Source organism: Homo sapiens, chromosome 4 (assembly GCF_000001405.40).
Source record: "Homo sapiens chromosome 4, GRCh38.p14 Primary Assembly".
NCBI classification, from domain to species: domain Eukaryota; kingdom Metazoa; phylum Chordata; class Mammalia; order Primates; family Hominidae; genus Homo; species Homo sapiens.
Window position 1 is genome coordinate 9,868,096 of NC_000004.12, and position 26,365 is coordinate 9,894,460.

A 26,365-nucleotide genomic window follows, 5' to 3' on the forward strand; every position below is an offset into this window, starting at 1 on the left:
CCTGACCCGGGATAGTCCCATGCCCTCCTCTGTTGTCCTCCAAGCCCTCTGCTATGTTCCTGCTGGAGAAAGCGGTCTGTTCTGGTGGGCATTAGTCAAGTTCCATCTGTCTCCCTTACCAGAGCGCCACTCATCTCTGATGGGGCCATGCCCAGAGGAGGGGCTCAGGAGTGTTCTGACCTCAGAGTCGCCTGGCAGTGCAGCCTGGTGCCTTCACTAGTCCACTGTGGCAGGGCAGGCAGCTGTTCCCATAAACTCCCTTGGGCAGGTGGCCCATCATGTAATTAGAAGCCAGGTGACCTGATAATAATCAACTCCTGCCTGGCTGGAAAGCCCTTGACTTTAAAGCATCCAGCTAACCAGGGCTTCTTCCCCAGAATTGTTTACTACCCTGAAGGGGAAATGCTATCCACCCATTTATTTCAATTGGGTACCTGCACCTTCATAAAATGGCATAAACTAAACAAGAAAGTCCCTAGAGTCCTCTGCACCCCAGTTGTCACCTGTTGAGGAGCTCATATATAGGGGATATGAGAAGTGAATTGTCTGTGGAGCTGACAGCCAGCTTGAAGCTCTCCCTCTGTCACCCCAGGAACCCCCATACCTGTGGGATTAACTGAGCGCTTCATAAGCCCAGAGCAGAACTTCTCCCCTCAGCAATTTTGTGACGAATGCTGAAGATTTTGGAACATAATGTTTATTTTTTTTCAAGTTTGAACATTGAGATAACTAAGTCAGTTCATGTTTGCATTACATTTTGAGCAGTGGTGAGGTTCCCAGGGGGAGAACAGCTCTGTGTCTGCAGGAACACCCCCCAAAGGCATGGGTTCTGATTCCCTCTAGGGTCAAAGTTGCTGACATATAAAGGGGAATGTTTTCCTTCCTCCAAGAGGTTATTCCCTGCTCAGCCAGGCTCCCTGATGTTTTTATTTTAGTGTTTATTTAACCCACAAGTGAAGACAATGAAAATGGTCAACTAAATTCTATGTATTGACAGAGCCTATTGGCAATAATGATCTCATTTGACTCTCACACTAATCCGTAAGACAGAGACAGTATAAGTCGGGATCTGGACTTTTCCACAGAGAAAACGGAGGCTGAGAAGTGGATGGAACGGGGGAGTGGTCTCCAGCCTCAGGTCTCAGCATCAACCTCCGTCTCCACCCAGCTTCTAGAATCAATTCTCACATGCAAACCTGGTCAGTCCATGCCTCCTGCTTAAAACCCAACAGTAGCTTCCCACTGGCTTCAGGGCAGTTCTACACATTAAGGCCTTCTGTGTTCTAATTTCTGTCTACCTTTGCACTTTCACCAGCTGCTGGTTCCCAATTCCAGGCACAGTGTCAGTCTCCTGCCTCTGGCCCTGGGCTCCTGTGCTCCTCCTTCCTCTTACAATGCCCCCTCCTCACATTTGCCCAGTGAACTCCTCCCTGCTCACCTTGCTAGACCACGGCCAACCATTTCCTGCTCTGGGACTCTTATCTGACACACCAGGCAGATGGGATGGCTTGGCAATATGTCAATTATTACTCTTATTTGATTTTACGCCAATCTTTCTCCCAAGGGTCTGGTGGCTGTCCTCTGCTCATCTCTGTAGCTTAGACCTAGCACAGTGACTGGCAGACAGTAAGTAGGTGTCCAATAGACTAGGATCTAACTTGAATGAACTGTTTTTGGTAGAGGAGGCCAAAGTGTTTATCAAAGCATATGAGAAAACAGATGCTTATCTCTAGTCCAGTGCAGTGGGCTGAGTGGTGGCCCCACAAATATACATCCATGTCCTCATCCTGGAGTGTGCAAATATTACTCAAATGGCAAACATATGATTAGGTTAAGGATGTTGAGAGGAGGACCTGGGTCCTAAATGCAATCACACATGTCCTTGTAAGAGTGTGGAAGATGGAGTTTTGGGATGCACACATAGGGGAAGGCCTGTGAAGGTGGAGGCAGAGACTGTGTAGTGATGTGGCCACAAGCCAAGGAGCACTGGCAGCTGCCAGAGGCCAGGAGAGGCGTGTGGAAGGGACTCCCCTCAGAGCCTCTGCAGGGGCACTGCATCCCTACTGAAGCCTCGATCTCTGCCTTCTGGCCTCAGAACTGTGGGAGAACACATTGCTGTCATTTGTGGAACTTTGTCACAGCAGCCACAGGAAATGGATACAGCCCAACAGAGGACTGTGTTCTCACCATCTCAGCAGCTGCAAGGAATAATTAAGTGACAAATTCCTCAGCTGGATTCCCAGGGATTGCCCAAGTGACAGTGAAGAGGAAGACAGCTGCTGACAGAAACCACGAGAAAGACCTATGAGCCTGACAGGTGTCACTGATTTCAAGGACTGCAGAGCCAGTTTTGAGGTTTTCTACATTTCTGTTGAAAACCCCAGCATACGCACCAAAACTTTGAAGGGCTCAAAATCTTTCTCAGAGCAGCATTTGCTTGGACTGCTTCTGAGGGGAGAGGTTTTCTGGAGGGTTTTGGCAAAAAATCATAAGGAACACTGCCACGTTTTCGCATTCAAGTTTCAGGCGATAAGCTCACTAATTAACTCTGCCATAGGCTGCGGGAAAGTGATAAGTACTAAAACCGAACATGTGAAAATGCAAGGGAGAACGGCTGGAAAAAGGAGACTTTGGAGTTGGGCAGGCATGCGTTCAAATCCTGGCTGGGCCACCTAAACTATGTGCCATGAGATGTGGCCCAAGCAGGGCTCCCTGGAGCTGTGGTGTCCTCATGGGGAGAGGAGGGTCTCCTTGCGGAGACTTTGTAAGGATTAGGGTGAGTGTGGCCAAGTATCTAGCGCTGACCAAGTGCTTAACTTAGGAAGATTTTTTTGGGGGGTGTGTGGGGTCTTGCTGTGTCACCCCAGTTGCAGTACATTGGTGTAATCTTAGCTCATTGCAACCTTCAACTCCTGGACTCAAGAGATCTTCCTATCTTGGCCTCCCAAAGCATTAGGATTATAAGTGCAAGCCACTGTGCCTGGCTTGGAAGATAATATTATTAATTTTAAAAGTTCCCTGGTCTTCTTGAAAAAGCAGAAAGTGCACCATAACCTTGGCAGGCAGCTTGCCCACTCACCATTGTTTGGCATTAAGAGTCAGATGGTGGAAATCACTCATTTCCAAAGCCCTGGTACCCTGCATCTACAGCTATGTAGAGGATTAGGAAATACTTTCCTGCCAACTTAGTGGCTATATTCGTTTTCTAGGGCTTCTGTCACAAATCACCACAAACATGGGGTCTTAGGAGAACAGAAATTTATTCTGTCATTGTTCTAGAGGCAGAAGTCTAAAATCAAGGTGTTGGCAGAGTTGGTTCTCTCTGCAGACTCTGAGGGAGAAACCATCCACGCCTCTCTCCTGGCTTCTGGTGCTGCTGGCAATCCTTGGTGTTCCTTTGATTCTAGATGCATCGCTCGCTCTAATCTCTGCCTCCACCTTCATATGCCCTTCTCTTCCCTGTGTCCTCTCCTTGTCTTATACGGACACCAGACATTGAATTTAGGGGCCACCCTAAATCCAGGATGGCTTCATCTTGCGATCCTTAACTGAGTAATCTGCAATGACCTTATTTCTAACCAAGGTCACATTCTGAGGTTCTGAGAGAACAAGAATCTTTGGGGGATACTACTCAACCCATTACAGTAGCTAAGAGCACAAACACTGCCAACCCACTGACTTCAGGGGCACCTGCCCCATAAAACCTATGAGTTATGACCTCTCAGAAACTCAGCCCTTCATGTGCAAAGTGGGAATAAGATGGTCTGTCTCCTGGGCTGCCATGAGGATTGAATGAGGTGAATTGCACAGCCACAAGGTTGGTAGATCTGGCCACCAATTCTGGAGGCTTCCATGCTCAGGAAAGTGGCTTGGGCTGGGATGGCTGCTGAGGAATCATTCAGGAAATATGTGGAAATGCTGTCCCTAGGCCTCCTCAGCAGAACCTGGATGAGGTCCCTCCTCATCCAGGGACCCGGGTGGGGGATGTTTCCCCAGGGAAGGGGGTTCTGAAGTGCAGCCATGTAGTTAGAGAGCCCTTAATCTGGTTCATCCCCTCATTTCACTGATGGTGAAACTGAGGCCAGAGAGGGACAGGGACTTGTCCAACTTACTGTAGATTTTGGGAAAGTCACAGCAAAATTCCAAGAGCATCCCAGACCATCTCTCCTGTGAGTTGGGGCAGGGTGCAGTGGGATGTGGTACCTCTGTGTCCTGGCCAGGAATGAGGGCTCAGAAATGCCATGAATGAAAGTCACATTGTCAGCTCAAGGTCAATTCATCAAAAAGCAAAGACTGGTAAATGCATTTTTGAATAAAAATATGTTAACAAAAGAAACCCAGTCTGTGAATGTGCAGGAATCCCTCTCACTATCTGAACCTTTGCTATCCAGACTCCTGTTTTCCAAACGCTTGAATGAATAAATTCGATAAATGTGTTGCTATATCGCTTGCTATCCAAATCCTATTTCCTGTTGTATGCATAAATTTCTGGAATAAAATGGATTTGGAAAGGGAAAGATATATATATTCTTTTTGTGGATAAAAGTATATTTTATGCCACTTGGCTGAGGCTTCTCTCTGTTTACTAACCTCCAGCTATAACAACAGGGAACTGAAGCAGAAGGAACAACAACAAAAAAAACATTCTACAGAATTCACTACGCAGACATGATGAAGAACTTAGAAACTGATCAAAGCTGTTAGAACCATTCCATTCTATGCACAAAAATGTACATTGTTCATAAATAGTTAAAAGAGATAAGGTAAATCCAGCAAATTGTGTTTCTCTATGATTTGACTTTCAGCAATGTGACCTCTCAGTGCATTGACTTTTGATGAATTAACTTTCATTAAGTTGCTTTGTTTTCTTCACAGCTAACAGCTAGAGGGGTGGACCCTTGGAAATGACCATAATATGTTGAGACTGCTGGAATGGTCAAGGTCTTCAACATTCCCCTATAGCCTTTTTGCACCATAGCAATTTGTGTCCTTATTGAACATTCCTCAGAATACTCCAGTTTGAGTGTACCATATGTTCCCAGTGGGGACCCTGACCCATGACTGTTATTGAAGGTAAGATCCCTAAGGGCAGAGACTCTATGTGTGTGCACATGCATGTGAGTGTGTGTGTTTGTGTGTTTGCTCCTCCACTGCATCTCCAGGCCTAGAAGGAGGCCCACTTTCTAGTAGGCTCTCAGTGATTATTTGTGGAATGGGGGTAAGTGAAGGAAAGCCCATAATTCTCATCTCTTGCCTATTCTACAGTTACTGCCTCCAGGCAATTGTAGAATAGCCACAGTTCTTTGCAGCCCCTCCAATGGGAGGGAAAGTCTTTCCCCATCCCTTGAATCTGGGCGGGCTTTGTGACTTGCTTTGGCTGATAGAATGCAGCAGAAATAGTGTGGAGTTCCAAGCCCAGGCCTCAGGCAGTTTTGCACACTTCCCCTTCTTTTCTTGCAACTTTGCCACCATCATATAAACAAACCTGGTCTAGTCTGTGGGACAGTGATGGACATGTGGTCAAGTTACCCTTCTCAGTGCCAGACCAATGAGTGAGGCTACTTTGGACTAGCTGGTGCCCAGATGACCTGCCAGCTGGATGTAGATAGGAGGAAATCATCTAGCTGAGATCAAAGAAGCCTGGGCCAGAAGAGCAAAACTGCCACACTGACTAACTCTTGCGAGCAATAATAACTGGTTGTTGTTTAATCCATGAGGCTTGGCGGTTATTTGTTACACAGTCATAGCTAACCGATACAAATTCCTTAGTGATCTTTCTGAATTCACTCTTCCCAAGCCTCTCCCATATTCCACATTTTACCTCTGGTTTATTCCCTCCTCTGCAGACTTTTTAAACACCAGTGTGATAATGCTATGTCCCAGCTCAAAATTCTTTGGTGGCTGCCCACTTCCACAAGGACAAAGTTTAATTATTTCAGCCTGTGAGGCCCACGATGATCTGGCCACCACTTTCCCTGCACCCTGATGTCCCCTGAGGCCCTTTTACTCCAGAGCGTCTCTCCAGTTTTACATGTGTCCTAGGCTTCCATTAGCATCCTCTCTGATGTCTGTCCTCTACTCAGACATTCCTCCTTTTCCCTTTAGCTGGCTACCTCCAGGTCCACTTCTAGCTCAAATGGCACTTTTGCTATTAAAAAAAAATGCCCCTTTCTCAAATAAAATATTTTACAAGTTAGTACATTATTGAATAAACAGAATGATCACACCCTGTGGCCAGGCCCAGCCTTGCCAGGGGAGTTCTCCAGATGCCCTCTCTGATGGCAGCAGCCCTGCAGATGCACATGTGTACCCCCACAGCTGTCTGCTTACCCCACCCGTGAGCCAGTGTACACCTAAGCTCTGTGCCCTTCCCACAAAGTGGAGCACCATGCCAGTTTTGGAACCGCGCAGAGGATGAGAATCAGGCCTCTGAGAGTGGGCTAGAAAGGAAGCTCAGAGGCCATCTGGAGAACGGAGTGCACATGTGTGTATGTGCATGTGTGTGAATCAGTATATGTGGATGTTGTGTAATCCCAGCTGTGTGCATGACTGTTTTGCTTGTGAGTTGATGTAGGAGATGGTGCAGTCCTGTTGTGTCAGAACCTGGCTGGGAGACCTCACATCCCCACATCGGCACCCATGTTCTCACAGGTTAGTGTCTAAGGTGGGATGCTGTGTCTTTAGAAATGGCCATAAGTTAGTGTCTGTCTAATGTGGGACGCTGTGTCTTTAGAAATGGCCATAAGTTAGTGTCTGTCTAATGTGGGACGCTGTGTCTTTAGAAATGGCCATAGGTTAGCGTCTGTCTAAGATGGGATGCTGTGTCTTTAGAAATGGCCATAGGTTAGCGTCTGTCTAAGATGGGATGCTGTGTCTTTAGAAATGGCCATAGGTTAGCGTCTGTCTAAGATGGGATGCTGTGTCTTTAGAAATGGCCATAGGTTAGCGTCTGTCTAAGATGGGATGCTGTGTCTTTAGAAATGGCCATAGGTTACTCTCTGTCTAAGATGGGATGCTGTGTCTTTAGAAATGGCCATAGGTTAGTGTCTAAGATGGGATGCTGTGTCTTTAGAAATGGCCATAGGTTAGCATCTGTCTAAGATGGGATGCTGTGTCTTTAGAAATGGCCATAGGTTACTCTCTGTCTAAGATGGGATGCTGTGTCTTTAGAAATGGCCATAGGTTACTCTCTGTCTAAGATGGGATGCTGTGTCTTTAGAAATGGCCATAGGTTACTCTCTGTCTAAGATGGGATGCTGTGTCTTTAGAAATGGCCATAGGTTAGCGTCTGTCTCAGATGGGATGCTGTGTCTTTAGAAATGTCTTCTTGTGCAGTGCACACCCTGAGAACCCATACTTGGTGGCTCTGCTTGCTCTGACTCGATATTTAGAAATCAGTCTAAGTTGTACCTCCTCTAGGTAACCTGACATCCATTCACCCAGACACACATCTCCTCTGTGCTCCCTTAGTACCTGGGACCTGCCTTTAGCTTAGTTGCCTATTGTAGACCTTAAGAACTCTGGCTCTGGAGTCAAACTGATAGGAAGTGGAATTGTGGTTCACTGCTGTGTAATCCAGGTAAAGCTCTTAACCGCTCTGAGTCTCAACTTCCTCTATCCACCTCCCCTTTTCCCCCCAGTGACAAAGCCAATGACTACTTCTTCCTCTTCTTTACTTGGAAACTGAACTCCAAGCTCCTGATTGGGACATTTCTTATTCCTCTTTGTGCTCCCAGGGCTGAAGGACTAATTACAATGTTATTGACTTAACCTCCATTGGCACTGGGCATTGCCCTGTAAAAGGACATCAGAGTGTGGGGTCTGACATGGGGCACCAAACAAAGCCATAGGCAAGAGCACATCACATTGTTGAATTTGCCTGTTTGGTTCTCAGAATCTCAAAATAGTTTTTGATAAAAGCGGAAATGAATCTCTGCCATGCTTTGTCGACAGGGGTGAGAACTGGTTCTTGGGAGGTGGCAAGAAGTCTTAAATATCACAATGGTTTGCAGAGCTGCAAAAGCTTAGCCCTACCTGATGAAATCTTACTTCTTAGTGTTTATATTCTTCTGTTATGGAGAAATTTAATGAAAATTAGTTTACCCCTGAGGTGGTTGAAGCTTCCCACTGTTGTTCGTCCCAAGGGGCCTCCATCTCTCTCTGGTTCCCTATCCCTACCCACAGGGCTATAAATAGTCCATTCACAGAACTGCTTTTAAAATCCTGGCAGTGCATGCTTGTAATCTCAGCACTTTGGGAGGCCAAGGTGGGAGGATAACTTGAGCCCAGGAGTTCCAGACCAGGTTGGGAAACATAGCAAGACTCTATCCCCACAAAAAAATTTAAAAAGTAGCCAGGTATGGTGGCATGCACTTGTCCCAGCTACTCAGGAGGCTGAGGTGGGAGGATAGCCTGAGTCCAGGAGGTGGAGGCTGCAGTGAGTCATGATCACACCACTGCACTTCAGCCTGGGTGACAGAGCGAGACCCTATCTCTAAAACAAACAAACAAACAAGCAAACAAACAAATAAAACCCTCTTGACTGTATCTCCTGATTCCCTGATTCCTGCTGGACCTGGATGAAATTTCACATTTATATAATAGTTTAGAGTTCACAGGGTAGTTTTAGATAGCTCATCTTTTAAGTCCCTTCCCTAAAAGCCTGTGTGGTAATGGGTGTGGAGTCTGAGTCTTTGTTTCTAGACAGGGACTAGCACCAATGCTGGAGTTAATTCTCACCTTCTGTACGAATTCATTTTAGAGACATTGATGTGTCCTGAGCAATGGCTACTATTTAGTTTTAAGTCTAGATTTGTGAGACATTTCCATTTAATTTTCATTAAACAGTTTTTCAAAAATTATGACTATATGCCAAGTTGGTGTCATTATGTCTCTTAACTTATAGCTATAGTTATTTTAATGTGCATATATTTATTCCTTCTATGCAATACTTTCTGCTTGGTCCGGAGGATTAGAAAGCAATTTGTCATTCTGCTTTGCACACAATTCCCTAACTTTTGAGGGGAAAGGAGACATCTGATTCGACTCCCCCTAAAGTGCTGGGATACTTAAGGTAATTGGGGTGAGGCCAAGGCCACGGATAGGGTTCTTTCTTTCATCTATTATTTGTTCATTCACTTGTTTATTCATTCAACAAGTAAGAATGTGCCCGTACCTGCCTAAGCACCCCATCCCAGGCAGGGAGACCTTGCTGTCTGCTGGCTGAGCTCCCTCTTGGGGCAGTGCAGGCTGGTGCACAGAGCCCTCCCACCCAACTTGGGGTAGTGCCTGCCCCCCTGGCAGGAGATTCAGAGGCAGACATATCTAGGGTTGAGTCTGGACTCCACCTTGCCTCTTTTGAGATCATGGATTCAACCTTGCTGGCATGAGAGAATTGAAAGGGATCATGTATGAACAATGTTTGGACGAATCCCAGGCATTTGACACACATGGGTTCCTTCTTTTTTCCCTCTCCTGCCTCCTGTAAATCCAGTAAGCAATACTTATTCATTCCCAGGTCTGTCTCTTCTGTGGGCTCCTCCAGCATAGGAGGAGTTAAAGGACTGAGCCCTTTCACTTGCAGGGCAGGGCCAGGATGTTTCATGGTTTCTTCTTTCCAGATGTTGCAGGTGCAGGCCTGGCATTGAGATAATGTCATACAAGTGGGTGGCTTTGACTCTTTATGTTATCTGATGCTCCTGCCATCTTCCTGTCCCAGGCTCTTCTGGGTCTGCTGGACACAGCCTTTACCCCTTCTGGATCTCACCAGGCTCCTGTTGGGGCACACCTGCTGTGTGCAATCCTAAGAGCCTGGCTGGGATTCTCAACACTGTTTGCAGGAGGGTTTCCTCCTCGGGGTCAGCCGGGGCCAGCAGCCAATGCAGTTGAGAGTGCCAGCCCCCTTCCTCCTATAGAATGTCTATAGTGGTCATTCTCAACTGTGCCCTGTCCCTCTCCTCTTCCTCTGTGGGGGTAGAGACACTGTCTTGCTCATCCTTTTATCTTCAACTCCCAGCCCAGGGCTGGCACTGTGGCATAACACACACACACATATATATATATATAAAATTGCAATATATATATATTTGATTTTTGTCCCTAGTTTTTGGCCCAGATTTCTTAAAAGCCTTGGGATTTCTGGAGTAACAAGAGTGGCTTTTGTCATTTATAATGAACCCCTAATGTGGTGACTCAGGTGGGTCATTAGATGGTTTCAAGGCAGCGCTGGCCATGCTTGGAGGGTTGGAACCTTCAGCTCCATCTTCCAGCCTCTAAGGAAGGGAGAGGGGCTGCAGGCTGAGTTCAGTCACCAGTGGCCAGTGATGGAATCAATCATGCCTATATAATGGAGCCTCCATAGAAACGTCTAAATGATGGGGTTGAGGTGTTTCCCAGTTGGTAAACGCACTGAAGTGCTGGGAGGCTGGTGTATCCACAGAGGGCATGAAAGCTCCATGCCCCGTGATGCACCCCCATACCTTCTGTATGCCTCTCTTCCACTTGGCTGTTTCTGAGTTGCAGCCTCTATAATAAAGCTGTAATTGTAAGTAGGGCACTTTCCTGAGTTCTGGGAGTCATGCTAGCAAATAATTATCAAACCTGAGGGTAGCCTTGGGAACCCCTGAATTTGTAGTCAGCAGAGCAGAAGTGCCGGCTCCCTGGGACTCTGTTTTTGGTTGGTGTCTGAAGTGAGGGCAGTCTTGTGGGATTGAACCCTTTAACTCTTTCTGACACTCTGGGGAGGCAGTGTCAGAATTGAGCTGAATTGTTGGACACCCAGTTGTTGGTGGAGACAAATTGAAGAGGTGGTGTGGAAAACATGTGTTTGGTGTCAAAATACACACACACATTTGGTGTGAGCTGTGGTGGTAGAAAACACCACACACCACACAGTAGGAACTTAATGAGTATGTTTTGAATGAATTCATGAAAAATACAAGCATTTATTGAGTGCTGACCCACTGTCAGGCTGTGTGTTTGGATACAGGTGATAGAAACAAGGTTCTTGTCTTTGAAGCAGTCCCTGATGTTAGGAGGACTGACCAACCATGGCCATTGTAATGGGGTGGGGGTGGGGATACACTAGGAGTTAATCTAGGGGGCTGTGGGAGCCCAGAGGGGCGGGCTGTTTCTAAGAAAGTCTCAAGATGCAGTATGAGCTGACTTTTTGAAGATGAGAAGCCACACCTCAAATGGATGAATAAGGGTGGTTGTTGCAAGAGGGGAAATAGCACATGCAAAGGCTGAGACCATGAAGCGTGTGTGTGTGTGTGTATTTATGTGTGTATGTGTGTGTGTGTGTGTGTTTGTGCGTGTGGGGCAGGGGGCAGCTGCCTGTGGCTCCAGATGGCTGCAGTGCAGGGAGAATGCGGGATAGAGAGGGAGGGCAGGCAGGGCAGGCAGAGACGACCACATAGGTTCTGTCAAATGCTGATACGCCCCTGCAGTCTTTCCAGAGGGGTCCTTTTTCCAAGCAAGGTATGTGCTGAGGCATCTTCCATCAGGACCGCTCCATCTTCTGGGGTGCTCAGACCTTAATTCGCACCTTGATAATGGCAGTGGCCTTACCGCTCCATCTTGTTTGCATCTGTCCACTCCATTTAAACACAAACTCCCCATAGAGGACTTAACTTGGTGCCAGGCACAGAGTCAGGGCTTCATGTGATTTTTAAAACTGGAATTGACACATTTTGGCAACGATCTTCTTTTTTTAAAAGGTGAAGCTCTTTTATTTTGCCTCATTTATTAGACTTCCCTGCCACTGCCTTGGGGTTATGCACACAAATAAAATATGCAGCAGGAAACTGCCTCTCTTGTTTTCTTTCTTTGCTTTCACCTAATTTCAACTCCTTGTCAAGTCTTCTTACATCGACCTGTTCCTCACAGAAGCTGCCTCAGGCGGCCTCCTGGCCCTCTCCTGGGAGATCCATCCCTCTTCTTTAATCATGGAGAGCAGGCCCATGAGTCTCTCTGCCATTCAGCTCTGAGCATCTTCCTGCCACACTTTCCCGGGTGGCTCCCCTGGGGACTTGCTCTTCCCTGTCCACTTAGGAAGATGCAAGATGGTCTCATGGTCTAAGTGGCAGCTTTTCTTAGACAGGTAAGTTCCCTGAGGCTTTAAACTGTACACTCTCAATGTGAGTTTAAATGAAGCTTCTAAACCCTGGTCCATCTTGTGGCTAAAGTCATTGCTAGCCAGCGAGGCCCAGGTGCTGGGTCAACACAGGGGGTTGAAGATGGATTGAGGAAGCGGAGGGCAGGGGCTGACAGGTGATCTGGGATTGGGAGGTGCAGGTGGCCTTCCCTCCAGGGAGTCCCATAGACACTGATGGGGAGCCCAGCATTTAAAGCCCTGGAAATGCAGCATGTTCTACAGTCAAAAGAAAGCCACAGTTGCAAACACTTGGAACAGAATCAGGATCATTGCAAAAAGTCTTGGGAGGGCTTAGGAAAAAAAAAACAGAGAAGGCTAAGCTTAGTGATTTTTGGTTAGCAAAGAACTTCAGGCAGATATGCAGATGAGTCCAATCTGGCTTGTTTGTGTGCATGGGTGGGGAAGAAGGTCAACTTTTCACTCAGATACAATGCTGACATTTACCGTTTCTTCTGGGAAAACAGCTGTTATGGAAAAAGATAACTCGAGAAGCATTAAATCACACCATGAAACATACAGCTTTCTTGCCCTCATGACCTGCACTTATCATAGTGGCAATGCCCACACCTTTGCAGGGGTGGCACTGTCCCAGATAACTGCCCTGGGCTGGCTGCTCCAGGCCCCTGGCTGGTGTCTCTGCCTCCAGTTTCTTCTCACTGCAGGTCTGCCCTGTGAAATTCATGCACACAGACTCCCCAACAGACCTCTAGTGAGTTCCATAAAACCGCAAATCCTTAGTGCAACAGCCAAGACGCTCTGAGATTTGCTTCTAGCTTATCTCCTGACTCCTCCTCTGTGTCTCACCCTGCACTCCGGGGAGTGGTTCCTGACGAGCACTTAGCTGTCATCAGATGAGGCCTGAATATCAATGTTTGCTTTGGTTTTCTTTCTAAGCCACCAAGTGATGGTAATATATTCAGCCAGGGTTTAAAAACTGCTCTAGCCCAGTGGTTCTTGAACTTGGCTGCACCTTGGAATCATGCAGTGTTAGAAAATGCCAAGCCTGGGCCCTAGCCCTCCAAGATTATGTCTTGGTTGGCCTTCAGTGCAGCCTGAGCACCAGGGCTTTAAAAGCTTCCCAGGTGACTGAGCAATGTTTGAGCACCACTGCTGTGGCTCTGATGGTTTATTTAAGGTTCGTTTGACATGAACTTCTTCCTATATTCTGGCAGTGGCTGCTCTCACTGCCTGGAAATTCCTCCTTCCCTACCTCACCAGCTAGCCCTCTCCCAAGTTCCAAATTTCAGAGCTGAGGAACTATAGCAGGGGTTGACACATGTTTAAAATAAAAAGTTAGAAAGAAAATATATTAGGCTTTTCAGGCCACATGTGGTCCCTGGCATGCATTCTTTCTTTCCCCCTTTTAAAATGCAAAAGCCATTCTTTGCTGGTGGGTCACACAAACTAGGCCAGGGACCAAATCTGACCTGTGGACAATTGAATTGCCTGTTTTGTGAGGCAGTGGGTTCCCTGTCAATAGATGCAATCAAGCCATGGCTGAAGGAATTCCTGGCAGGGAAACCATGACTAGGACTTAAGCTTCTGATAAATGACTGAACTAGAACATCTTTACGGTCTTTTCCAAACTTGGGATGCCTTAATTCTAATTCATCTCAGCCCCTGGAAGGTTTCCTCATCTGCCAGATGACCTCCCTCCAGCGCTGAAGTCATTCCCATGTTGTGTTCCGCCTCAGTTAATTGTGAAGATCTGCATGTGTCAGCACAGACTTCATTTCAAAACCAAGTGCTATGATTTAGGTGTCTTTGAATTTAAGAGACAAAGACCAAAGATTGTTCTTGACCTCTGCATTGAGATAATACCTGAAGCAGGAATGGCTGGAACCATGAAAATCAACATGCTTTTAATTCATCCTCAGCCAAGCTGATCTGACAACTAGAAACAAAAGACAAAAGTATTTCTTTCCACATAGACACAAACAGGACTGATTTATGAGGATCAAGAGTAACCCCATCCTGGGAAGATAAAAGCAGGAGCCCCCTCCCCTTATCCTCAATTCTCTGTGTAGGCCATTTCTCCTTGGAATAGTTTTTAACCTTGCAAGTAAATTTCAAAATGGGCATAATTCCACTCAATCTTTAGCAAAGAGCTGAGGTTCTAGGACAAGATGGTGAAGATTTAAATCTAGCATTTGCCTCTTAGCTATGTGATTTGGGAAAAATTACTGGATCATTCTGAATATTGGTTTTTTCATCTATAAGAGGCCGAGGCAGGCGGATCACGAGGTCAGGTGATCGTGACCATCCTGGCTAACACAGTGAAACCCCATCTCTACTAAAAATACAAAAAAATTAGCCAGGCGTGATGGTGGACGCCTGCAGTCCCAGCTTCTTGGGAGGCTGAGGCAGGAGAATGGCGTGAACCCGGGAGGCGGAGCTTGCAGTGAGCTGAGATCGCGTCACTGCACTCCAGCCTGGGCAACAGAGTGAGACTCTGTCTCAAGAAAAAAAAAAAAAAAAAGGATTAGTTTGGGAAGGAAGGATTTAGCAGCTGATCTATAAACCATCTTCTATCCTCTAGGACAGACAGACAGAAACCAGGGAAATAAATGGCCGTGTCCATTCTCCACATAAACTTCCTACCCCAACCTCATGATGGTATTTATTAGCAGAACAATAAGGGAGAGTCCTTATATTCACAATGTTTTTAGTGGGCTATACCTGGTCTACTTAGATGGTAAGGTTTAGCTATGGGGCTAGCTTGCTGGAAAATGTCAGTGTTAGCTGAAAAATTATCTGAATATAAAATGCAGAAAATAGCTTCTTTCATGGAAGTGATGCATGTATGTCCTTTTTAGAGCCCTCATATGTTAAATCTGGACAACTATGCATCCTAATGTGGCAAAGAAGAACAGCAAGCTATCTACACACACACACACACACACACACATACACAGATTTGAAAATCTGACTCTATTATCTTATATTCACCTAGTATTTTTGTGAAAATTAAAGCACTTAGAACAGGGCCTGGAATAGAGTAAGTGATCAATAAAAGTTATTACCAGAGACTGGATTTGGGGACAGATGTGAATGTGCTATGGAAAGTCCAGGGTAGTGTGTAGAGGTGAATTTCTTATGTTTGTCGTGGAACGAAAACAGCATAGATTTTTAACACTTGGGTTCACATCCTAGCTCCAACACTCACTAGCTGTTTCTTATCAGGGGAGCCCCTAACCCCTGTGGACTTCAGTTTCTTCATTTGTAGATGAGAGTGGTAATCCTAATTTGCAAGCCCATCTTGCACAGTAGGGGTGATGTATATAAGGCAGCTGGTGCAGTGTCTAAGTTAAAGTTGATGCTCAAGAAAGGCTAGTGGCTGAATGCCATTATGAGTGGAAACTGAGCAAGTGCGGCAAGGACTGGGCAAAGAACAGGACAGAGCCTGGGAAGCCCTAAGCCACTGCTTCTGGGTTTAACCAATCACTTTAAGGGTGCCCTGTGGGTTCAGCACCTCCCAGTCCACATCTTACAGCTTAGTGCCTACTCAGCCCCTTCTATCTGAGTTCCCTGGTCATGATTAAACCACCTGCAAATACGTCCTGACAACCTTCTAGATGTCAGGCCAGGACTGGGCACTTTAGGAGAGGCTGATGTAAAAGTGCCAACTCTGCATCCAGGGCTGGCCATGGGACTTGTCATCACCACTGGAATACGAGTGGAGAAGAGGGTGTTACCCCAGGTCAGGGCTCTTAAGAAGCTTTCTGCACAGTCTTTCTCCTTTTCACCTACTGGATGCAGTAGACCAGAGACACTCGGGGTTGGCAGAGCCACAGCCCAGGAGGAAACTGGGTGCATGTGCTCATCTACCTGGGACACTAGCCATGGGTGGTTCTATGAGTGAGACATGGATTTCTATTGTGTGAAGCTTCTGTCATTCAGAGACATATTTGTTAGGCAGCTAGCGTTACACTGACTGATACATGCTGTTAGTGACTCAGAATTCAGACTGCACATGTGAAACATTCAAGGTGCCTGCTCAGGAGCATGTTACTTTTTTAAACAATTTTTTTAGAAAAGAGATGGGCTTTTTTTCTCTAGCACCCTGGCTAGAGTGCAATGCTGCCATCATAGCTCATTGTAACCTAAAAATTCTGAGCTCAAGTGAGCCTTCTGCCTCAGTCTCCTAAATAGCTGAGATTACAGGTACATTCCACTACTACACCTGGCTAGAAATGTTTTTTTTTTTAATTAGTAAAGTTGGGCTTGAAGATACAAGACCATTTTTTGGAGGGTTGGCAATTAAGAAGCCATTGGCCATCTGTGCAACAGTGTATTTGTTGGATGGAGGAAAGTGTGGGAGAATGTATGTGATAATAGACAAACCCTTCAGTTTTGACTTTAAGGTATTAAAAACCTGGTTCTCAGAAATACCATTTGACCCAGCAATCCCATTACTTAGTATATACCCAAAGGAATATAAATCATTCTATTATAAAGACACATGCATGCATATATTCATTGCAGCACTATTCACAATAGCAAAGACATAGAATCAACCCAAATGCTCATCAATGATAGACTGGATAAAGAAAATGTGGTACATATGTACCACGGAATACTACACAGCCATGAGAAGGAACAAGATCATGTCCTTTGCAGGGACATGGATGGAGCTGGAAGCCATTATCCTCAGCAAACTAACACAGGAACAGAAAACCAAACACCACATGTTCTCACTCATAAGTGTGAGCTGAATAATGAGAACACATGGACACAGGAAGGGGAACAACACACACTGGGGCCTGTCTGGGGTGGGAGTGGAGGGAGGGAAAGTATCAGGAAAAATAGCTAATGCAGGCTGGGCTTAATACCTTAATTGCTGTCGATAAGTACAGCAAACCACCATGGCACACATTTACCTATGTAACAAACCTGCGAGTCCTGCACATGTATCCCGGAACTTAAAATAAAAAAGCAACATGTATCCCATGAAAAAAAATATGGTTCTATTTTATCTTCCTCCTGCCTACCCCTGCTCTCCTCTCCCTCCAGCTTGGCATACAACAGGTGCTCAATAAAGGCTTGAGAAATTGATAAGAATGGAATTCAACCTTATATTTGTTCTTTCTCTGAAAAGAATCTTGGTATTAGCTTGACTAATCCTTTTGCTCCATGCAATTGGCTAGTGCCACCTTCATATTTTTCTGATATCATTAAGCCCCAGCTGCCTCTTCCCTGGAGCTCAGGGATATTGCAGGAAAAGGGGTCTGCTCTCTCCACTTCTTCTCTCCTCCAAGGTTTGTTTTGAAAAACCCTGCTGCCAGGGCAGGCTCCCGTGTTACGCTGCTCACAAAAGCACACATCTTCCCTGCCAGCCTTTGCTCAGTTATTTTATTCCCTCTCTAACAAGTACTTGTGGAGCCTTACTATGTCTTCAGCACAGTTCTAGGTTATCAGGATAAGATTGTGAACCACACACCAGGTCCTTTCATGGAGCTTATTTTCTAGCCTGGAGGAGACACACATTAAAGACAGACTGCAGCACACAGGCCGCATGCAGCCCACTGCCTGCTTTTGTAAATAAAGTTTTACTGGGACACAACCATGCAGTCCATTCATTTACTCGTTATCTATGGCTGTGTCCACACTACCATGGCAGAGGTGAGTAGTTGTGATAGAGAATGCATGGTCTGTGAAATAAAAGTATTTACACCTGGCCCTTTGCAGGAAAAATCTTCCCATGTCTGCATTAAACAAATGAGTACGCAGGAAACCAACATGCCTGTGAACAATGCTATGATGGGTGATGAGATAGAGGGTAGGTGTGCATGTGTGTGTGAGTGTATATAGTAAATGTGTGTGTGCTGGTTTTAGAATAAGTGGCCAGGAGAGGCCTCACTGAGCAGCTGACATCTCAGAGGGGACTTCCACACCAGAGGCAAGCCCCTCTGGGAGCAGAGACTGCTCCTGTCTGGTTTGCTCACGCATGTCCCCAGGCTAGCATAGGGCCGTAGGCTGGACACCTCCAGAGCACTGATGTGAAGATGTGGATGTGAGGTTGTGATGCAGATGCCCTGGAAGACTAAACACATTTACTCCTCGCGTCCACTGTAAACTACAACATGTGCTGTGTGTTCATCCTCTAATTCGCTGCCCTGCCTGGGAGGTGCTTGCTTTCTTTTTCTTGCAGCCGTTCTGACCACCCTCATAGCACTGTGTGTGTGTGTGTGTGTGTGTGTGTGTGTGTGTGTGTGTGTGTGTGTGCTGTGTGCATGTATGTGCACCTGATGCCCTCCCCAACCATTCCATGGCCCACCTTGCCACCTTGCCATCTTATTATAATATCCCGATGTCCTGAATGGACACTTTCCATCCACCATGAATGCAATAGAACCTGGAATGTAATGGCTTACGAGAATCAGCAACACAAAGGGAGAAACAGAAGTTCAGTTCCCTTTGTTCTGATAGAAACTTACTGTTTGCATCCACCAAGAAACACAACCAAAGAACAGCCATGAATATCATCCCATGAGAGAGCACATGGCTGTGTCAGACCCTGCCCTGAGCCCCCCTTCTCAGTCTGACCTTGGACTCTGCTGGAGGTCCCTGCTGGACGTGGACACAGGGCCAGGGAATGGTAGGGTCCTCAGTTGCATTGCATCCTTGTCGTTGTACAGATGGGGAAACTGAGGCTAACAAAGAGAAGAAGTCTCTCCTACTGACCCATGGCTAGGAAACAGCAGGGCTAGAAGTGAGTCCCAGGTAAACTGAGGCTGGGATACTCCAGCTGCACACTCACACAGCTACCATGTAAGCTGGTGGTTGGGGCCTGGGCCTGGCAGTCAGGCCACTCCACCTACTCGCTCATGCAAGTCACCTTCCATCTCTGTCTTCTTTGGCACTGTCCTGAGCCTTAAATGAGCTCACACAGGTCAAGTTCTTAGCCAAGTATAACACAAAATCAATGAACAATATGTCTTAGACATGATTATTGCCACATCTTTCACCATAGACGGTAACTGCTTAGGCACAGACTGTGACTTGGTTGTCTTTGATTCAACACAAACCAGTGTCACCTCTGGATCAGAGCCCTCCCGCGTATGAACTGCTCTTGCTGTGTGGTGGGAAATTATCTCCCACTCATCTTCAGGTGAGTCCACTTTCACCTTCTGTGGGATAGACTGCAGACAGTCGGCTACATTTAAATTGGGCCAAAAGAAAGGCAGCAGACACACATCCCCAGTCAGGCTTTGCTTCTTCTGGGCTCTGGGTTCCCCATCTGTATGAGGAGAGCCCCCCAGCTTGGTGATGCCATGAGTCCCTGGGCGGGGCAGTGGGGAGGGTGGGGTGCCTTACCTGGCCCACTGCAGAAAGAGGCGATGATGGCCAGAATGCCCACGATACTCAGGTAGGGGACCCAGGGGGCGTGGTCCTGGGAGAGAACAGGGAGTGGTCAGGTGAGGAGGTGATGGTGTGACCGGAGGACCTGAGTTCCCACCCCAGCTCCTCCTCCATCCATCTGTGTGACCTTGGACAGGTCACTTGATGTCCCCAAGCCCCAGCTTCAGCATCTATAACATGGGAACAATGATAACCCTTCGGTCACTCCATCTGCTTATTTTATAGCCATGATGAAATCAGATGAAGCCTGTGATGAGTTTGACATAGTCCTGGCATACAGGAAGTGGTAAATAAATCAATAACTCACATTGATTGAGGGCTTAGTTGGCATCAGGCAATATGAGCAATTTTCACAGCTTTATCACATTTATAAAAGTTCATCATTCTCAGCAAACTGACACAAGAACCGAAAACCAAACCCCACATGTCTCACTCATAAGTGGGAGTTGAACAATGAGAACACATGGACACAGGGAGGGGAACATCACATGCTGGGGCCTGTTTTGGGGGGTGGGGGGCTGGAGGAGGGATAGCATTAGGAGAAACACCTAATGTAGATGATGGGTTGATGGGTGCAGCCAACCACCATGGCACATGTATACCTATGTAACAAACCTGCACGTTCTGCACATGTATCCCAGAACTTAAAGTATATATATACATATATATATATATATGTATATATATGAATGTTTCCTCATATACATTTTAAAGGCTTCTATATTTTGCTTAAAAGAAGTTATCTTAGTTCTGATATTATTACATAAAGGACCTTATTTGTACCCCTGCCATCTTGCAAGGTGTGAGATGCGTTAATTCATTTCATGGAATATGTCTGGAGAAGCTGTCACTCATCCGGGGGGTGGGTGGCTTGGTGCTGGTTGGGATTGCTCCTGCTCTAGCAGACTGGACAGCTGAGCATTAGAACACAGTGTCACCAGTTCTGAATCTGTGGGGGTGCCAGGGCTGCCCCAGGAGAGGCCACCTGACTTGAAGGGAAGGTAAGAGCCTGCGTTCATCTCTGTAGGCTGAGCCAGAGTCAGCCCAGTGGGAAAGGAAAGGAAAGAGGTTCCAGTAGGGGGTTCAGCATACACAAGGGCATAGAATCCTAAGAGGGCACCATCGGCGGGGGGGTAAGCTGCAAACAGTCTGGAGTGGAGGGCGAGGGGTACAGAGGGCAGACAGAGGAATGGGGAACTCCCTCCTTCCCCTTGTTCTATGTCCAAATCCATTAGCTTTAGGGGTTGAGAGGAGCTTCATGGACTCTTGTACACTGTATGGCTTGCTTCTGTACCAAGTCACTCACTCACTCACTAATTCAGCTGATTGATCCGAGCTGCCCCTGGGTGCCAGGCACTGGGATGGGAGGTGGAAATGCAGATATGGTTCATGCCAGGCCCTTGCCCTACACAACTCACTCACTGTCTATTTGGAGAGAGACATGTGCCAACAGTGAAAGTCAATGGTATGTGATAAGTGATCTCACAGGGTTCCCCCTTGGGGCTTATGGGAACACAGGAGAGAGCACCTCACCCAGACTTGGAAGCAAGGGGAGGCTTCCTGCAGGAAGAGGTGTCCAGGAATGTCCAAGGCCTCCTGAGTCCAGAGCAAGGAGAAGCTAGCCAAGCACAGAAGAGCCCTAGGAGAGGAAACTGCCAGGTTCCTTGAGGAGCTGCCGGGGGCAGGGTGTGGGGCACTGGAGGAGACAAGGGTGGCCAAGCCAAGAACAGCTCTGAAACCTTGTGAAATGAGGCTTAGATGGGGTTTGTGGGCTTCAGGCTTTCCTTTTAAACTTCGGACACAAGTTTCAGAAAGACAATGGCCTGGAACATCGCCTAACTGGCTTCCTGAGAACTTTGAAGGACTGTAAAGATGCTGGAGCTTGGGACAGCTTGGGCCTGGCTGTCAGGAAGGAACTGCATCTGCCAGCACATTGTCCCTGAAGGCAATGCTTCCACCTCCTGCCGGTCAGCGTGCTTGCCAGCCCCACCTCTTCAAAGGGCACCCATCAGCCACCACCATGCTAACAGTGCCTTCTTCTAGAAACATTTGGGCCACTAAGACATTTGACAGGTGATCAAAATGTGCACCTATCAATTTCCAGATGCATTTTTGAAAAATGCAAAGATTAATCAATTGCTGCAACCTTGCTTCACGCTTCCCATGGCACCAAGATGAGTTGGAGGTACTGAGGCAGTGTTCAGTTAATGCAAGCTGCCCTGAGCCATGCAGGGGGCAGAAGCCCAGGATCCGGGGATCTAATTGCCACCTTTTGGTGGTGTAACCTTGGGAAGCTTATTTATTTATATTTATCCCTCAGTTTCCTTATCTCCATAAAACAAAAAAATACTGATGTTGTAAGGATGAAGTACATCGCCACCCCTCCTCCTTCATGGACATCCACTGAGTGCTTGTTCCAAGTGCTTTCAGTGCATTTTCTCATTTCATCCCACAACACCCCTGGATGAAGGGACGACTGTTTCATTTTAGAGATGAGGCCCGGAGAGGAGCTGACTTGCTAAAGTTTCATTACAAGTAAGGAAAAGCCAGGGTCCACACAGGCTGTCTGGCTCCAGAGCCACTGTTCCTAAAATTGTGACAACTAGGGAAGTGGCTGATATGCAGCACCTGGCACTCATGCTGGGAGGTGACAGCTGGAAGGAGCACCTTAAGGTTGTCTAGTGCAAGCTCTTCTATTCCATAGATGGGTGAACTGAGGCTCAGAGATGGAAAGTGTCTTGCCCAAGATCACACGGCTCATCAGTGAGAGTGACAGGACCAGAAGTCAGGTCTCTCATCTCCCAGTCCAAGGACCCCTCACCAAACCCTCTTCACTGAGACCCTCAGCAGCTCCAGAGATGAGATGTCCCCGGGGAGAGCTTTATCACAAGTGTTTTCTGTAGAAGTATGAACCCACAAATCAAAGGCCCCAAAACGATGAAGCCAGAAGTCAGCTCCATGCTTATCTCCCTCAAATGTGACAAGAACATCGTCTCACCTGCAGGGTCAGCGTGATGGTGAGGGTCCCAAAGAAGAGGCCCATGAGCCCAAAGCCACCAATGAGGAGGGGTCTCCGTCCCAGGTGCTCAATGACCAAACCCTAGTCCAGGGTAAAAGAGAGAGAGAGAGCTATTATTCCATTTCTAACCACAACAGGGGAATGTGGCACTGGGAACCGGCAATGGCATCATGATTAAAAACCGGCTTTGACCCTGAGACAGTTGGGCCACCTTCTTTATGGCCACAGCCCTGAAGCAATGCTCTTTATGAGAAAGGAAAAAGCGAGGGAGAGAAAGTCACAATTCTTGAGCACCTACAGCATTAATAACGAGCACTCTCCTCCGAATCTTCCTTGCTATGGTGGACTCCTCCAACAGGGAGTCTGGGAGAAGGAACTGGATGGATATGGTCACCACAGCCCTTCTCCTCCTTCAGAGGCAACCTGCATGGAAGGTGACTCCTCTGTGTCTCCATGTTGTGGGTTTCATAGGGGTAGGCATCCACAGCGGGGCACAGGGGTGGGAGTAGGCAGAGAAGCCCATGTCGTTTTCCAGTCTGCCTGTGTCTGGGGAAGTCAATTTCATTGTGGGATGTGATGTGGGGAGTCCCTGGGGAAGTCCCTAAAGCTGTGTCCTCGAAGCCAGCTTCCCTCGGCCTAGGACTGTCACTGACCTCCATCTGGCTGGCCCCTGTGCCCCTTGTCCACTTGGTCAGGAAACAGCTCCTCAACTGCCAATGACTGAAAGAGTAATTGTAGCCGAATGTCAGAGACAGGAAAACCTGGGTTTATATTCCGGCTTTACTATTTTCCAGATGCACGAACTTTGGCATGTCACTTCACTTCCCAAAGCCCCAGGGCCTTTATCTGTGACAAGAGAATCAAAATATCCTTCCACAAGAGTGTCTGGAGTGGAAGGGTGTGTTAAATAAGAGACTGCACTCAACACACAGGTTAGGTACTCGGATTATGTGAGGTATCCTCCTCTCATGCTCCATATCACAAAAAGAGAACACGGAGGGTCAGAGAGGTGAGATAACAGCAGACATCACAGAGCAAGTAGGTGAGAGAGGGCCAGAAATTGAGCCCAGAATGAATCAGAATCCATGGCTTTTCTCAATGAGGCAATCAGGCGAGGCTTCCTGGAGGAGGCAGGAGCAGACAGAGATGTGGAGAGCTTGTCAGGCAGAGGGATTAGTGGGGGAAAAGGTTTTGGGGCTGGATGGTCCCCATCACGACAGTCATTTGGCTTGGACAAGGGGAAGCAGTGACGCTGCTGAGGGCCATGAAGCCAGAGCACACATGGCTCCTGCCTGCCAGCTTCAGGTGACAGTGCGAAGGTCACAGCACTGAGACGAACAGTTGCAATCCTTCCCCAAAGCCTCAGGGTTTCTCCACAATGGAACCCAGCTGCAGGGACCCCAGTGCCCTCTACCTGTTCCTCTTTCCTCATACCCTGCTCCTTAGAGGGAGGCAGGTGAGAAGCCGTCTAGGCAATGGGCGTTCTCCCCCAAGCTTAGCATGGGCTGTTGTTCTGCTGGGCAGAGCCGGCACTGAGGGGTGAGTGACAGCTGCCTGTCCGAAGGGCATAGCCCTGTGGGTCAGCTGAGCACCCCGGCCATGTAGTGCTGCCTGGGGCCATGGACCTCTCAGTCACCTGGGCATGAATGTTGAGGGGAACGGAGGGTGCTGGCCCCGAAAGTCAGAGGCCTGGGAGGAAAATGTGCCTGGCTGATGACCACATGTCTCTAAAAGCATCCAAGACTTCTGGTCAGAAATGCCTTTCTCCTGGGTGCTTAGGGAAGAAGGGCAGACTCAAGCCTTTAAACTTGGCCTCCTAGAAACCTGGCCCAGTGGAACAGAGCACAGGTGACATCCAGGGGCACAAAAGCCTGAAGATGGGCCATCTGAGCTGAATTCCTGGCTTTGCCACTTAGCCTTCTTTGCACCCAGGACAGGTTATTCAGCTTTTCCAAGTCTCAGTTTCCCCACCTGGAAAATGAGAATGATAATACCATTTTTGCAGGGTAGCTGTGAGATAAAGCGAAAGAACTCACAATGCCTGAAATAGACTCATGAACAAAAGAGGTTGCCAATAAATGGCAGGAAATATATTATTCATTTTAACTAAGGAGTGCCCTGGGGATCTGGTCCCAACTCTTACCCGTAGCTGGCTGTGTGGCCTTGAACAAGTTAATTAACCCTTCCATGTCTTAATTTCTCATCTTTTCTGATGATAATGGAGTTAGTCTAGATACCAATAGCTAATGATCATTTACTGAGCACCTACTATGTGCCAAGCACTGTATTAAGCACTTTTCATGCAGCAACTCATTTAATCCTGACAATAATTTTGAGTAGGTTCTATTATTTGCTCCATTTTACAGGTAAAAGAACAGAGGCACAGAGTCTTTGGAAACTTGTCCAGGGTCACATGGCTGGTAAGTGGCAAAGCTGGGATCACCTACAAAATCTTTTCTGTTGTTGTGACATTACATTTTCTTGACATTAAACTAGAAACAGTCAATGCCACCACTTGGTAACAGCCCAGTGTCTCACCTGGTCCAGCTCCCGGACCCGAACAAGGGCACTGATCACTTTTCTGCCCCCCCACCCCCTCCCCCCTCCGCATTCCTGGCTCTCTGATTCTCTTTCTTCACTTGAAGGCTAGGAGCCTTCATCTTTGCTTTCCCAGAGCCTGGAAGAATACCTGACAGGTGTGGCGTAAGTGTTTGCTGAGGGAGGGAAGGTCTGTCTTTATAACGCAGGCAGAATGATTCTCATTTGCAGGGGGAGGGCGGGGAGGGCAGTGAGGTTCAAGAATACTGAGGGACAGTAACTTCACTTGGTGGGAAGTGGGGAGGGAAGTCAGGCCCAGTGAGAGTCAGGAGGGAAGCAATGACCAACAGCTTCTGAGAAAGAGAGATAGGGGGAGGCAGAGAGGGACGGAGGGAGAGAATGAGGGAGGGAGGGAGGGAGTGAGGGAGGGAGGGAGACACAGAGAAACCTGCATTTAAAGCATCCCTTCCTCTTAGGCCCTCATGAGCTGGGTTTCATCAAAGAGGAGACACTGATGGGGCTGCTGTGCCAGGTCCAGTGCAACATGGGCAAGGGAGCTGGGTCCTAGTGCCAGGAGGGACCCCCGCAAAGGTAATAGGAGAAAAGGCCCAGAGATATCAGGGGCTTAGAGAGATTATGAAATTATGGGCCCAGAGAGATTATGCTTATCTCTGTGTAACTCATACTAATTTCAGTGTAACAATGCAACACATGTTAATCTCAGCGCAACACATGTTAATCTTGGCGTAGCACTCTCAGTGATCTGGGCCCAGGATCAGAGGCCAAGAGTGATTATGGGATTTACCAAAAGTCACCCAGGGCTAACTATTCAGAGAGAAGGAAGTGGGATAGATGCTGTTTTACACCAAGGGGCAGTTGCAAACGTCCACACCCTTGGACTCAGTCACTCACCTTCTGGGCATTGATCCTAAGGAAATAGATGTTTGGTCAAAGATGCATGGACAACGATCTTTGTTGGTGTGTTATTTATACTACTGGGGAAATAGAAATAATCTAGAAATCCACCAACAATTAGTTAAATAAATGCTGGAATATCTAGATGGTAAATATGTAGAAATTAACATAGTTTAAAGAATTGTAAAATGGTACAGAAAAATTCTCAGGGTACAATCTTAGGCGAAAAGAGTAGGACATAAATCTGTATATACTAAAACATGTAGTTATATAATATCAATTACAATTATGTTAAGCTAATACACCCTGGAAAAATATATGCAGAAATAGTTTATAATGGCTAACTCTGGTTGGGGGAATATGTGATTATTATTTTA

General features: G+C 47.1%; 1 protein-coding gene across 27 annotated transcripts in view; it reads right to left on the bottom strand.

Annotated features, from left to right (window-relative positions):
- Positions 1-26,365, bottom strand: part of SLC2A9 (solute carrier family 2 member 9) — a 269,246-nt gene that overhangs the window by 97,071 nt on the left and 145,810 nt on the right. For 21 of the 27 annotated variants that reach the window (XM_011513867.4, XM_011513858.2, XM_047415973.1 and 18 more), the window contains 2 exons: positions 22,515-22,616; positions 19,472-19,547 (listed from right to left, as the gene is read on the bottom strand). The exons of 1 other annotated variant lie outside the window; for it this stretch is intronic. In XM_011513867.4, coding sequence (XP_011512169.1) covers positions 19,472-19,547; positions 22,515-22,616 — 178 coding nt within the window. 5 more of the 27 variants (XM_011513865.3, XM_047415980.1, XM_011513866.3 and 2 more) reach the window with 4 other exon arrangements.